Below are 15945 nucleotides of genomic sequence, written 5' to 3' on the forward strand. Positions count from 1 at the left end.
AGGCAGAGTTCCAATGTATATCCATGTATGTATTGAAAATTAAAGGTGTTTTCAGTTTGTGAAAATTGACAGGATTGATGTGATATAAATCTGTAAGGAAAAAATCCTGGACCCCTACATATTATATATAATGACAAATTCCAAGTGGATTAAAATTAAATATGAAAAATAATAAAATATATACGGGCTGGGTGTGGTGGCTCACGCCTATAATCCCAGCACTTTGAGAGGCCGAGGCAGGTGGATCACGAGGTCAGGAGATTGAGACCAACCTGGCCAACATGGTGAACCCCTGTCTCTACTAAAAATACAAAAATTAGCTGGGCGTGGTGGCACCTGCCTGTAGTCCCAGCTACTCGGGAGGCTGAGGCAGAAGAATCGCTTGAACCCGGGAGGTGGAGGTTGCAGTGAGCCGAGATGATGCCACTACACTCCAGCCTGGTGACAGAGTGAGACTCTGTCTCAAAAATAAATAAATTATATATATATGAATATTATATAACATCATGATGGAGCATAAACCAGAAGGACAACCCTGAAGCCATAAAGTAAATCCTAGACTTCATTTAAAAATGTATATATATTGGAGACAGTGTCACTCTGTCACCCAGGCTGGATTGCAGTGGCATGATCTCAGCTCACTGCAACCTCTGCCTCCCAGGTTCAAGGGATTCTCCTGCCTCAGCCTTCTGAGTAGCTGGGATTACAGGCATGTGCCACCACACCCAGATAATTTTGTATTTTTAGTAGAGGTGGGGATTCTCCATGTTGGTCAGGCTGGTCTGGAACTCCCGACCTCAGGTGATCCGCCTGCTTTGGCCTCCCAAAGTGCTGGGATTACAGGCGTGAGTCACCGCGACCGGCCGGTTTTAGGTATTCTTTAGATGACAGTTGGTTGAGAGAGTTAAGCTGTTGTCTGAAGACATGAAGTCAGTAGAAAGGAATGCTTGAGTTAAGATAAGGGGGTTATGGGGGCTGAGGACCTTGTTATGTAGATGAAGGTTCCTAAGTAGCAGCCCTCAGAGAGAATAGATGGTAAATGTCTCTTTCAGACCTTAAAGACATCAGACTGGCAGTTAATCTCTCCTAGATCTGGAAAAGGCCTAGAAAGGGAAGGCCTGGGTGCATTAATGGAGATTCTCTACCAATGCAAATTTCCACTGCAAAAGGCAGCTTTGCAGAGTCACTTCAATGTGTTGGCCCTGTGGCAGCCATTTTAAAATATGTCAAAGAAATATATTTTGGGATAAAATAATTTGGTTTCCTTCAGTGTCTGCTATCTATCATGTGATGCTATACCAGAGTCAGGTTGGAAAGTAAGCCACATTGTGTCAGGTTAATTTTAAAAATCGAATTAGATTTTTATAGTTTGTAGGGCATGACTCCCCAGACCCCTTAGATAGGAATTTCAAGATCAGAGTTTAGTCCTCATGCCATAGGAAATCAAAAGACAAGTTATAGACTGGGAAGAATATTTGCAACACTTAAGAAGAGAGGTGATATTGAAACTGCCTTTGCAAAAATTTTAACAGTGAGAAAATTATAACAGTGAAAGAGATCTGATCCAACCAACCCCCATCTTGCCTTTAAACTCTAAACTGCCCTTGGTCATCCCTGGGCATGGGCCAAGCTAACTGGGGGAAATGCAGTTTGCAGTTTAGATGATAATAGCCCTTCCCCAAAACTAAAGCACCTTTGTAAAACTAATGAGGCCGGGCACAGTGGCTCACCCCTGTAATCCCAGCACTTTGGGAGGCCAAGGTGGGTGGATCACCTGAAGTCAGGCATTCAAGACCAGCCTGACCAATATGGTGAAACCCCGTCTCTACTAAAATTACAAAAATTAGCCGGGCGTGGTGGCCGGTGCCTGTAGTCCCAGCTACTCAGGAGGCTGAGGCAGGAGAATCGCTTGAACCAGGGAGGCAGAGGTTGCAGTGAGCCGAGATAGTGCCACTGCACTCCAGCCTGGGCAACAGAGCAAGACTCAATCTCAAAAAAAAAAAAAAGAAAGATGAAAGGGGCCTGAATTTTGCTAAGATGTAGGTGGAGTTAAATGATTAATGGCCATTGTTCCAGAGACCACAAGATTTGCAACTTCCCCTGTTAATCCTGTAAATAACATCACTATTGTAGAACCTAAGATTGGCCTTTTGAGATGTCTTTTCAGGTTTTTGCATTTATGGTGACCGGATGGCTCCACTCCGGACTGGCAAGATGGACTCATGACTCAACTGGTCTTGTGGCCCCCACCCAGAAGCAGACTTGGCACACAAGGACCATTTTCCACACCCCTATAATTGCACTTCCAACCAATCAGCCCCCTGTCTGACAAACTATCCTTGAAAAACCCTAACTTCTGAGTTTTCAGGGAGATTGATTTGAGTAATAATTCATCTCCCACGTGGCGTGGCCAGCCTCATGTCAATTAAACTCTTTCTTTCTTTTCGAGATGGAGTCTCACTCCATCACCCAGGCTGGAGTGCAGTGGCATGATCTTGGCTCACTGCAACCTCCACCTCCCAGGTTCAAATGGTTCTCCTACCTCAGCCTCCTGAGTAGCTAGGACTACAGGCATGCGCCACCATGCCTGGCTATTTTTTTTGAGACTGAGTCTCGCTCTGTCACCCAGGCTAGAGTGTAATGGCATGATCTTGGATTACTGCAACCTCTGCCTCCTGGGTTCAAGCGATTCTCCCACCTCAGCCTCCCAAGTAGCTGGGATTACAGGCACATGCCATCATGCCCAGCTAATTTTTGTATTTTTGTAGAGACAGGATTTCACCATATTGGCCAGGCTGGTCTTGAACTCCTGACCTCAGGTGATCCACTTGCCTTGGCCTCTGACATTGCTGGGATTACAGGCATGAGCCACCATGTCCGGCCTTAATTTTTTGTATTTTTAGTAGAGACGGAGTTTCACCATGTTGGCCAGGCTGGTCTTGAACTCCTGGCCTCAAGTGATCCACCTGTCTCAGCCTCCCAAAGTGTTGGGATTACAGATGTGAGCCACCACACCCAGCCAAACTCTTTATTGCAATGCCATGGTCTCAGTAAACTGATTTTGTCTGTGCAGTGGGCAGGAAGTGTTACCAGCAGCAAATCCAACGGGTCTATACAGCAAACTCGATTCTTGCCCCCTTGGAGGAAAGAACTTGGCCAAGGGGCAGAAGGCAGAGTGAGAGACCAAGGCAAGTTTTAGAACAGGAGTGAGAGTTTATTTAAAAGTTTTAGAGCAGGAACTAAAGGAAGTAAAGTACACTTGGAAGAGGGTCAAGTGGGCAACTTGAGAGATCCAAGTGTGCTGTTCAGCCCTTGACTTGTTTTATACGCTGGCATGGTTCTGAGATTTCCATTTCTCCTCTGTTTTTCCTTGGAGTGGGCTGTCTGCATGCACCATGGCCTGCCAGCACTTGGATGAGGCTGCACGCACAGTGTGTTTACTGAAGTTAGGCACATGCTCATTTGAGGCATTTTTCCCTTACCAGTCAAGCGTTCCTAGAGGAATGTCATACACCAGTTAAACTCCGCCATTTTGCCTCTTAGTGCACATACTTGAGCCCGTTTGCCTAACTCCTGATATCTTATTTGGAAGTTGCTCATTACCAGCTTCAGGTGTTTCTATCCATTGAGAGATTGCCTTTCTCTGGTGCCAGCTGCGACCAATTATTATTTTAGCAAGACAGTTTAACAACCACCTGACCATCACCTGATGGTTGCCTGGGGATTTGGGGGCCTTCTCCTGCCCTGTTCATGTCTGCCTAGCTACCTATTCTAACAGAAGGACCCACTGGATGATTACAATGTCTCTAATAAAAAAATATCCCCACAAACTGCTATTTGTAAAATATGTAAAAGTGTTTATGTAAAAGTGTACGTATGTAAAAGTGAACATATGAATAGAAAATGGAAAAGGAGTCTGGGCGAGGTGGCTCATGCCTGTAATCCCAGCACTTTGGGAGGCCAAGGCAGGAGGATCACTTGAGGTCAGGAGTTCAAGATCAGCCTGGCCAACATGATGAAACCCCATCTCTACAAAAATACAAAAATTAGCTGGGCATGATGGTGTGTGCCTGTAATCCCAGCTACTCAGGAGGCTGAGGCGGAGGTTGCAGTGAGCCGAGATCGCACCATTGCACTCCAGCCTGGGCGACAGAGCGAGACTCAAAAAACAAACAAACAAAAAGTGCTACTTGTTAAAACATTTTAAAGGATAATTGATCTGAATTGCCCATTGGAGAAAGAATATCCTCAAACAAAGCACAGTGGTGAATAGTATTTGCCTATGTGTTCTGGTAATTTTTCACCAGCTGAGCTAGTGTAATCATCTTGCTAAAGAAAAGTTCTACAGTTCTAAGTAATCATGTTGATTTGAAATACCACTTACGCAACAAAGTTGAATTGTACATCTTTTCTTCCCCCAGCAGATGGTGACATTTTATAGAATATGGAAAAATTATCCAAATGGATGAGTGAGCTATATAACTGAAATATAATCGTCTCTATTTCATTTCTCATTTATCTACATCTTGAATTCATTTACAAAAAGGCATTCATCAGGAAGTAACATTTAAAGACTATGCTTTCAGGGGTCATTTGTTTTTCTTTTCTTTTCTTTCTTTCTTTTTTTTTTTTTTTTTGACAGGGCCTCACTCTGTCAGCCAGGCTGGAGTGTAATAGTGCCATCATGGCTCACTGCAGCCTTGACATCCCAGGTTCAAGCAATCTTCCCACCTCAGCCTCCTGAGTAGCTGGGACTACAGGCACACAGCATCACACTGGGCTATTTTTAAAATTTTTCTGTAGAGACAGGGTCTCACTGTCTTGCCCAGGCTGGTCTCAAACTCCTGGGCTCAAGCAATCCTTCCTCAGCCTCCCAAAATTCTGGGATTACAGGTGTGGGCCCCCATGCCCAGCAAGGGATCGTTTCTATAGTTCCTTCCTAGGAAAGTTTCTCTGAACATGTAGAGCATGTTTTTTAAAAAGTAACATTTATGAAAAGAAGACTAAGAACAATTAAAAAATAACATATAGAAAGTAGAATTTTTCAGGCCAGGCATGTCATGCCAGCACTGTACACCTGTAATCCCAGCACTTTGGAGGCTGAGGTGGGCAGATTACTTGAGGTCAGGAGTTCGAGGCCAGCCTGGCCAACATGGTGAAACCCTATCTCTACTAAAAAAATACAAAAATTAGCCGGGCATGGTGGCAGGTGCCTGTAATCCCAGCTACTTGGGAGACTGAGGCAGGAGAACCGCTTGAACCTGGGAGGTGGAGGTTGCAGTGAGCCGAGATCGCACCACTGCACTCCAGTCTGGGCGACAGAGCAAGACTATGTCTCAAAAAAAAAAAAAAAAGAATTTTTCAATGTCTTCAATTCTTAGTTTGCACAGTGTTTTTACTAGATATTTTCTCATCAGGTCACATCAGCCTACCTATTTACAAAAATAAAATAGTAAGGACAAAATGCTAAAGAGGGCAAATCTGTCTTTAATTAATGTCCATCTCAGGCCAGGCATGGTGGCTTACACATGTCATCCCGGCACTTTGGGAGGCTGAGGTGGGAGGGTAGCTTGAGCCCAGGAGTTCAAGACCAGCCTGGACAGCATAGTGAGACCCTGTCTCTAAGAAAATGTCCACCTTTGATTTCTCTTCACTCCTTTTTTCCATGCAGGGCCTTCACTCTTCTGTTTCTCAAATTCCTTCTTTAGTATTATTTCTTCCTTCCTTTAAGCTTCACACAGTAAAGTTTGCTTCCCTACTTTCTAACCGAGAGTATAGCATATAATTAAAATTCATTCTTAGGTATATGTAATTAGTATTCTCAGCTTAATGTGCCAATTATACCAGGGATATTTCATTCACTAGTTCAAACGGAACATCAATTGGAGATCTCTCATCTTTCAGATATTCTTGCTGAGCTCACAGTCCATCCAGAAAGAGAAACAAATTCATAACACTAATGTAAGAGGTTTTCTTTCTTTTTGAGACGGAGTCTCACTCTGTCCCCCAGGCTGGAGTGCAGTGGTGCAATCTCAGCCTGCCGCAACCTCTGCCTCCTGGGTTCAAGCGATTCTCCTGCCTCAGCCTCCCGAGTAGCTGGGATTATAGGCACCCACCACCAAGCCTGGCTAATTTTTTTATATTTCTAATAGAGATGGGGTTTCACCATGTTGGCCAGGCTGGTCTTGAACTCCTTACCTCAAGTAATCCACCCACCTCAGCCTCCCAAAGTGCTGGCATTACAGGCATGAGCCACTGTGCCTGGCCATAGGAGATGTTTTAATGCAGCTGTGTACAAGGTGGAAACCTAGAAAATGAATCATTAATTCTGTTGAATGAACTTTATATGTGAGCTTCAAATTTAAGTGAGATATGACAGACTGAAATGTGAACAAAAGGTATTTTAGGCAGATGGAACAACTTGAGCTCAGATATAGAAGCATCAAACTGTTCAGCATTTTTGTGAAACCCAGAAAATTCTGACTAGAACTCACAGTATTAAACAGTCAGTGTGCCAACAGAATTGGGATACAGGACGGAGGAGGAAGAGAGAGGAAGCAGTGGAAAGAGACTGCAGAGGTAGATGAGAGCCAGACTGGGAAAATCCTTAGAAGGCAGGCCAAGGAATAAGGACAGCACTGTAAAAACCCTTATGAGGTGTCCTAAGGAGTGTGGACTTGATTCTGCTGGCCCCAGATAGCCTTCTTAAGAAGGTGTGGAGATGGTAGAGGATGGAAGCAGAAAGACCAATTAAGAGATGATGGATCACACAAAGCTAGAGAGGAAAAGCACAATGTGGATTGATGAATGGTGGCGTCTTGTTGGGGGGAGAGTTAATGATGGAGGCATATTTAAGAGATATTTGCATGGTAGACTTATGGGGCTAGGATGTCTGATTGGATGTGGTGCCCGAGAAAGGGAGAGGCATGCCCAAAGATGACTGTGGGGTTTCTAATTCTGGCATCTTGCTGTGTAATAATAACATTCAAAACAGAAATTCATGAGGAATAGCAGATTTGTAGAGGATTTGCTTGGGGACAAGATGAATGTGGGGCACCTGGGTTGGGGGGACATCAGGTAGAGGTGCTGAGACAGAATTGAAAACATGAGACTAACTGGAGTTCAGGAGATAAATCTGGAGATGATTTTTCTTTGGGTGGGGGAGGGACAGAGTTTCACTCTTGTCACCCAGGCCAGAGTGCAATGGCGTGATCTTGGCTCACTGCAACCTCCGCCTCCTGGGTTCAGGCGATTCTCCTGCTTCAGCCTCTCGAGTAGCTGGGATTACAGGCAGGCACCACCACGCCCAGCTAATTTTTGTATTTTTAGTGGAAACGGGGTTTCACCATGTTGGCCAGGCTGGTCTCGAACTCGTGACCTCAGGTGATCCACCTGCCTCGGCCTCTCAAAGTGCTGAGATTACAGGCATGAGCCACCATGCCCAGCCTGGAGATGATATTTAAGAGTGAATAATGTAAACTTGTTGGGAGAAGCCATGGGAATTGAAAATCTCAGGTGGTTGAGTACAAGAAGAGGGGGCCCAACATGGAACCTTGGATTCCCAATATTTTAGGTTAGGTAGAGGCTATGAAGAGGATTAAGGAGGAGCAAGAAATGAAGCGATGTTTAAGTACAAAAGATGGTGAGAAACTCCTCTCACAGCACAACTTGTATACTCATGGGAGATGGAGTGGTATACAGTGATATCCTAACAATCTCTCTAGAGTAATCCTTGCCCCACTTTGACCAGAGCTTGGAAGCCTGTCCAGTCTTCACATTAGAAAGTCAACATTTTAAGAATGTGAAGAAGTAAGAGTGTTATAAAAGATGCCTGACCTACACCATGTAATTAATTTTCCTTTTTGTTAAGAAAATGTTGAAATTAGCAAACGTGGCTGGGGGCGGTGGCGCACACCTGTAATCCCAGCACTTTGGGAAGCTAAGGCAGGAGGATTGCTTAAGCCCAGGAGTTCAAGACCAGCCTGGGCAACATAGTGAGACCCGCATCTCTACAAAAATAAACAAAATTAGCCGGGTGTGTTGGCACATGCCTGTGGTCCCAGCTACTTGGGAGGCTGAGGTGGGAGGATCGCTTGAGCCCCAGAGATTGGGGGCTGCAGTGAGCTATGATTGCCGCCACTGCACTCCAGTCTGGGCTTCAGAATGAGTACCCATCTCTTAAAAAAAAAATACTAAAACTAAGTTCTATTACAATTTATGTTTTACTTCTCATAAAATAAATTATACATATTATCACAAGGAAGAAAAATGTGTAAAATTAGAAAAAATTCCTGTGAGAAGCCACTCTTTGCCCAGAAAATATGTTTGTTTATTGATTTATGTTTTTATTAGAAAACTCAAAAGGACCTGGTAAGTGTTCTGCCACTGGATTTCAACAGGAAATCACCATTTCTGCCCTCTGGGAGGTAGTAAAAAAGATTGGAATACCTCCTCTTTTGAAGAGGTCAGGAAGTGTGGTAGATGCTGTCCAGATTCTCCTTCTGGAATAAAGGAAGTATTCTCCAGCTGCTGGGAGCGGTGCCCACAGAAAACCCTCAGCTGTCAGCAACTTCAGTGATTGCCTTGGCTAAAAAGAGCTGCCTCACCCAAAGTTGCATCCTTCTAGGGGTCAGCCTGCATCTAATAGCTGAAAAACAGGGGGCCCAGCCCTCTCCCCTCAACAAGCGACAACTCCGAATAACCACCTCATCTTCAAAGATCACCATGTGGTAGACCAAGAGAGACAATGTTGGGCTTGTGCTGCCACCTGACTTGCCCCTCTGCCCAATCCTACATCCTTCCCTTCCCTTCAATAGATGTTGATCTCAAGGGCCCTCTCTAATAAATCTCCTGGGTGCAGAGTTTGAAACCAGCCTAGCCAACATGGTGAAACCTCATCTCTACTAAAAATACAAAAATTAGCCAGGTGTGGTGGTGGGTGCCTATAATCCCAGCTACTTGGGAGGCTGAGGCAGGAGAATCACTCAAGCCTGGGAGGCGGAGGTTTCAGTGAACAGAGATCGTGCCATTGCACTCTAGCCTGGGTGACAGAGCGAGACTCCATCTCAAAAAAAAAACAAAACAAAAAGATATCCTGGGTGCTAATCTCCAACTCAGAGTCTGCTTCCCAGAGAACTCAACCTATAATGTGAGTGAAATCACAGGGCTTGGACAAGGCTTGCAGGCAAACCCTATATCCATCCACCTTTTCATCCATTAGAGCTCAGAAGCTCAAGGCAGCTTGGGCATTGGAAGTAGAGCCATGAATACCTGGGGTTTATTTTATTTTATTTTAAAATGTATCTTTCAGTAAATTTCATTCTTTTTGGTGTATAGTTCTACGAATTTTGACAAACTCACCAAGCCATGTAACTACTACCACAGTCACGATGCAGAAGAATTCTAATTCCCCCCAAAGAACTACCTAATGCTGTCCTGTTATGGTTGATTCCTCTACTCTGTGCTTAATCCCTGGAAAGACTAATCTGTTCTCTGTCAATATACTTATGCATATTCCAGAATGTCATATAAATGGAATAATACAGAATGTAGACTTTTGAGCCGGCTTCTTTCTCACAGAATAATGTATTTGAGATTCAGCCACACGTGTCATTGTGTGTATCAATAGTCTGTTCCTTTTTATTGCTGAGTAGCGTTCCATTGTATGGTTGATCACAATTTGTTTCTCCATTCACCAGTTGCTTCCAGTTTTTAGCAATTACGACTGAAGCTGCTATCAACATTTGCATATAGGATTTTGTGTGAACATAAGTTTTCATTTCTTTTAAGGAAATATGTAGGCATGGAATTGGTGGAACATGTGGTAAATATATTTTTAACTTTATTTTAAAAACCTGCCAAACTGTTTTTCCAAAGTGGCTGAACCATTTTTGCATTCCCACTAGCAATGTATGAATGTTCCAGTTGTTCTACAGCCTGGCCAGCAATTGGTATTGTCAGTTTTTTTAAGCCATTGTAATAGGTGCATCAGTGGTATTTCATTATGGCTTTAATTTGCATTTTACTGTTGATGTTCAGCAGCTTGTTCATTTCCTTATAGACATCTGCATATCTTCTTTGGTGAAATGGCTGTTCAAATATTTTGCCCTTTTTGTTTGTTTGTTTATCACAAAACTAGCTTTATTATATTTTTCCCAGTTAGATTTCTTTGTTAAATGTCTTCACTGTCCCAGTGACTTCTGGTTCTTATTTTCTTGACGCACACAATGTCCTCAGCCTTCTTTTTTTTTTTTTTTTTTTTTTTGAGATGGAGTCTCGCTCTGTTGCCCAGGCTGGAGTGCAGTGGCGCGATCTCGGCTCACTGCAAGCTCCGCCTCCCGGGTTCACGCCATTCTCCTGCCTCAGCCTTCCAAGTAGCTGGGATTACAGGCGCCCGCCACCACGCCGGGCTAATTTTTTGTATTTTTAGTACAGACGCGGTTTCACCATGTTAGCCAGGATGGTCTCGATCTCCTGACCTCGTGATCCGCCCGCCTCAGCCTCCCAAAGTGCTGGGATTACAGGCGTGAGCCACCGCACCCAGCCCTCAGCCTTCTTTGGATTTTCTGCACGCCTCTTGACATTCCACGTTACTCTGTGCATATTCACTCTCCAAAGTGCTTGCTGCAGACTGGCTTTTCATCTTTCTTGCTCTCAAACACATGGAGTCTGAATTTCCTGCTTCTCCTTTCCCTTCCTGATTCTGCACGAGAACCCCCGCACTCTTCTGCCCTCTGCTCTCCTCTGCCACTTTAGGCTGGGAGCTCTTATTCTGTCTAACAGACCTCAAGCACCTTTTGTTTTCACTGACTTTGCCCCTAGGTATGGGTTTCTGGGCTCCATCATCTGGATTTTGAATGTCCATGTCTTGGGAGGTCTTCATGGGCTTGTTTTCATTTCAGTTTATTTGAATTCTTTCTGCTAATACAATGACCTTAGTTATTTGCTGTTCTACATCAGTCTTACTTTGGCGTCTGGAGAGCAGGGACATTCCCTTATTTTCAGGGACTGAGTCTTGTAATTCGTATTCCTCTTTGTTGGTTTTCATGTTATTGCTGTTCAGATCTTCTGCAGGTTCAATTCTTTTTGCAGAAGTCCTCAGACTTCTCTTCATGATGACCAAGGGTTCGGGTGATTTGCCTCTCACCCTGGGAGCAACCCTCTCTGCTTCTTGCTGGCTGGCAGCTCCTCTATGATTTCCTCTGGTGCAGGCATGCAGTGCGGCCTCTTGGTTCCTGTGACACTTCCATCTTTTCCACATCCCCTCTTGAAGGGCAGTGGGGGCAGGGAGGTGTTGCTTTTGCTTTGTGATTTTACAGTCTCTGGTGCCTACCAGGTCTCCCACGGGTTCTACTTTAGGGGCCTGAAGAACTCTTCTGGATATTTTTAGAGGTTTTCCACTGTCAGGTGCTTGCTTTGGAGCACTTGTAAAGCTATCAGCACCATTTGCCAGTTCCTCAGTGTGGCCTGGTGTTTGAGAGAGCTCTTGGAAGCTGGCCAGATCTTCTAGGGGTTGGGCCTTTTCCTTGGGCACTCTTGGCAATCTCCTGCTGCCAGTTACATTTTCTGGGTCCAGCTTCTGCTTTGCAGGTTGCTTAAATGCTTTCATGCCTTTGCCCTCACCTTCTGGTTCTTTATTGGTGTGCGTGGTCTCCCCTGATGTTTGTGTGAGCTTGCCGACTGCTAATAGCTCTTCTTTCACTTCTACTTTCTGGCCACAAGCCCTGGGCCATTTCTTTGAGCTTGTTGCAGTGTCTACTAGTTCTGGTGGTGATTTGCAGGGTATTTTGGTGGTTTTGTCATGAGTCATTGATTCTTCAGTATGACCTGGTGCTGGGTCTTTGAAGCCAGCCAGGTCTTCTAGGGCTTGCGCCTTTTCCCTGGGTGCTCTTGGCCATCTCCTGCTGCCACTTACACTTGCTGCTGGAGCCAGTGTCTGCTTTGCAGATTCCTTAAATGCTCTGATGCCTTTATCTTCACCTACTGGTCCTTTGCTTCCACGGTTTATTGCCCATTTTTATATTGGATTGTTTGTTTCCTCATTGTTTGGAGAGCTCTTTGTATATTCTGGATACAAGTCCTTTGTTAGATATGTTATTTATAAATAGTTTCTCCCAGTATATTGTTTTTTCATCCTCTTAGCATCTTTTGCAGAGCAACAGCTCATAATTTTCATGAAGTCCAACTTATCAAATTTTTCTGTTATGGATAGTGCTTTTGGTGTCATATCTAAGAATTATTGGCCTAACACCAGAAAACAAAGACTTTCTTCTGTGTTTTCTTCTAAAAGTTATACATCTTATATTTAGGTCTATGATTGATTTTTTTTTTTTTAAACAGGGTGTCGCTCTGTCACCCAGGCTGGAGTGCAGTGGTGTGATCGCTGCTGACTGCAACCTCTGCCTCCCAGGTTCAAGCCATCCTCCCACCTCAGCCTCCCAAGTAGCTCCCAGGCATGTGCCACCATGCCTGGCTAATTTTGTTTTTAATTTTATTTTTTGTAGAGACAGAGTTTCACCATGTTGCCCAGACTGGTCTCAAACACCTGGATTCAAGCAATCCACTCGCCTTGGCCTCCCAAAGTGCTGGGATTACAGGTATGAGCCACCAGGCCCAGCCAGGTCTATGATTAATTTTAAGTGAATTTTTGTAAAAAGTATGGGTAAATTTCTGCACTCTCTATTCTATTACATTGACCTACGTATCCATCCTTGCATCAATACCACACTGTCTTGAGTACTGTGGCTTTATAGTAAGTCTCAAAATTAAGTAGCATGAATCTTCCAATTTTGTTCTTATTTTTAAAAAATGTTTTGAATATTCTAATTTCTTTGCCTCTCCATGTAAATTTTAGAGTCACCATGCTGATATCTATAAAGAATCCTGCTGGGATTTGGACTGGAATTGTGTTGAATCTATAGATAAATTTTTAGAGTATTGACATCTTCACAATATTGAGTCTTCCAATCCATGAACACAGTTCTCCATACATTTCTAAATCTCCATATATTTAGCTCTCTTTTATTTCCTTCATCATTGTTTTGTAGTTTTCAGCACATAGATCTAGGACATATTTGTGAAATGTACACCTAAATATTTCATTTTTCTGGTTTTATTTTATTTTATTTTATTTTTAGATTGAATCTTGCTCTGTTGCCCAGGCTGGAGTGCGGTGGCACGACCTCAGCTCACTGAAACCTCTGCCTCCTGGGTTTAAGCAATTCTCGTGCCTCAGCCTCCTGAGTAGCTGGGATTACAGGCGCCTGCCACTATGCCTGGCTAATTTTTGTATTTTTAGTAGAGACAGAGTTTCACCATGTTGCCCAGGCTGGTCTTGAATTCCTGACCGCAAGTGATCCGGCTGCCTTGGCCTCCCAAAGTGCTGGGATTACAGGCGTGAGCCGCTGCACCTGGCCTTCTTTGGTATTATTGTAAATAGTACTTGTGCGGAGAAGAATGATGGCCCCTAAAGATATCCATGTCCTGATCCTTGGAACCTCTGTTTATGTTCTCTTACATAAATGGTGGCTCTCACAGATAGGTCAAGTCAATATCATGAAGATGTCAATTCTCCTTCCTATGTTATGTTATAAACTTACCAACTTTCAGTAAGAATACCAATAAGCTTTTATTCTGGACCTAAACAAGTTGATACTAAAGTTCATATGAAAAAATAAATATGCAAGAATAGCTACATGGTCTAAGTTTCTTGAACCCATCATGTTCCATTTCCACCTCATTCAGTCAGGTCCTTCTCCACCTTCAGATCTCTGCTCAAGCATCCCCTGTGGGAAGTCTTTACTACACACACACACACACACAGAGAAGACAGAGAGAGAGAGAGAGTGAGAGAGAGAGAGACAGAGAGAGAGAGACAGAGAGAGAGTGTGTGTGGGCAGATGTTTTTTTGAGTCTCGCTCTGTTGCCCAGTCTGGAGTGCGGTGGCACAATCTCGGCTCACTGCAACCTCCGCCTCCCAGGTTGAAGCAATTCTCCTGCCTCAGCCTCCCGAGTATCTGGGACTACAGGCGCCCGCCACCACACCTGGAAAATTTGTATTTTTTAGTAGAGACAGGGTTTCACCATGTTGGCCAGGCTTGTCTCGAACTCCTGACCTCAAGTGATCTACCCACCTTGGCCTCCCAAAGTGCTGGGATTACAGGCGTGAGCCACTGCGCCCAGCCCTGGGGCAGACCTTTATGTTATACACTCTCACAGAACTGCGTTCCTCTCCTTCAAGCACTTGGTTCAGTTTGGGGTTATTCACACATTAGGAGACTGATTTGGTTAAAGTTGGTCTCCTCTCTTAGGCTGGAAGGGACAACAGGGTCAGGGACTGTTTTGCTCATTGTGTACCTCCTCTGCCCAGCACAACCCCAGATACATGATTGCACTTGATACATATTTTTGAATAAATATTTGAATACATAAGAAAAAGTCTGGTCTCTAGGTCCATTGTTTTGAAAGTAGTAAAGATGTGATTTTAGCACCCCTATTTATAATGTTGGAAACCTCATGAAAAACAGAAAAGGAGATTGTAGAGGTAGATTAGAGCCAGACTGTGAAAATCCTTAGAAGGCATGTTGGCCAGGAGCAGTGGCTCACACCTGTAATCCCCACGCTTTGAGAGGCCAGGGCAGGAGAATCGCTTAAGCTTAGGAGTTTGAGACCAGCCTGGGCAACATAGTGAGACCCCATCTCCACAAAATATTAAAAAATTATCCAGGCCCGGTGACACACAGCTGTGGTCCCAGCTACTCAGGAGGCTGAGGTGAGAAGATCCTTTGAGCCTGGGAGGTTGAGGCTTTAGTGAGCCATGATCATACCCCTGCACTCCAGCCTGGGTGACAGAGCAAGATCCTGTCAGAGAGAGAGAGAGAGAAGGAGAGAGAGAGAGAGAGAGAGAGGATAGCAGAAAAAACGAATCAAAAGAAATCTTTTTTTCTTTTTCTCAGTCTAAAATGCTAGTCTTATTTTTTTCTCAGCCAAGCAGGCAGATTCTGCCTTCCCAATCTCTATTCATCTTTTTCTTTCCAACTGCCATCTATTTCAAATTCTCTGCTCTTTCATTCTGTCCCAATAGGTCTTCCTCTCTCAATCCCAATCTATGGGATCCCAGCAAGACTATTTTTGGAAAGTCATTTCTGCTAACGTTACTTACTCCCTCAATACAAATCATCAGTAGTTTGCTATCAAAGCTCAAATGTAAAGTGCTTCTTCCCAGCAGTCAATCAGACAACAAATGCTTGTTGAGCACCTACTATGTGCTTGACACCATGATAAGGTCTGGCATTCAAGACCTCTAACAACATAATTTTCAAACCTTAATGATTTGCATCATTATCCAAAGACCAATTGGAAGCCAAGACAGATTCTGAGCAGAGAAATGGCATTGACCGAAATCTATCACTGATTAAAAATTAGGCCGGGTGCAGTGGCTCATGCCTTTAATCTCAGCACTTTGGAAGGTCGAAACAGGCAGACCGCTTGAGCCCAGGAGTTCAAGACCAGCCTGGGCCACATGGTGAAATCTTGTCTCTACAAAAAAAGTAGCCAGGCGTGGTGGTGTGCGCCTGTAATCCCAGCTACTCGGGAGGCTGAGGAGAGAGGATCACTTGAGCCTGAGAGGCAGAGGTTTCAGTGAGCTGAGATCACACCACTGCGCTCCATGCTTGGCGACAGAGTGAGTCACAGTCTCAAAAAAAAAAAAAAAAATTAAAAGAGGGCAAAATAGAAACAGAGACTGGCTAGGCAGTTTCTACAGTGCTCTAGGGGACAGTTGGTCCTCTGAGCTAGGGTAGTAGCAATGGCAATGAAGATAAGTGAATGATTTGAAAGGACATTTAGGAGGTAAAACCCACCTGACTTGATGATAGATTGGATTGAAGAAGAGGGACTGAGGAAGAGGGAGATACCCAGAATGGCTCCTAAGTTTCTGACTGCATA

At 44.2% G+C, this 15945-nt stretch overlaps 1 pseudogene, besides 2 other annotated features; it reads right to left on the minus strand.

The window, feature by feature from the left end:
- Positions 850 to 1748: an enhancer, noted in NCBI's record as "OCT4-NANOG-H3K27ac hESC enhancer chrX:46411040-46411938 (GRCh37/hg19 assembly coordinates)". NCBI's record gives its function as "activates a minimal SCP1, AML or CMV promoter by ChIP-STARR-seq in primed H9 embryonic stem cells {active_cell/tissue: H9 hESC(primed)}" and the evidence as "EXISTENCE:reporter gene assay evidence [ECO:0000049][PMID:30033119]".
- MKI67P1 (marker of proliferation Ki-67 pseudogene 1) lies at positions 10537 to 12005 on the minus strand (annotated as a pseudogene).
- Positions 11352 to 11881: an enhancer, noted in NCBI's record as "active region_29571". NCBI's record gives its function as "activates an Ori minimal core promoter by ATAC-STARR-seq in GM12878 lymphoblastoid cells {active_cell/tissue: GM12878}" and the evidence as "EXISTENCE:reporter gene assay evidence [ECO:0000049][PMID:35858748]".

The sequence above is a fragment of the Homo sapiens genome, chromosome X (genome assembly GCF_000001405.40).
Source record: "Homo sapiens chromosome X, GRCh38.p14 Primary Assembly".
Classification (NCBI taxonomy): Eukaryota; Metazoa; Chordata; class Mammalia; order Primates; family Hominidae; genus Homo; species Homo sapiens.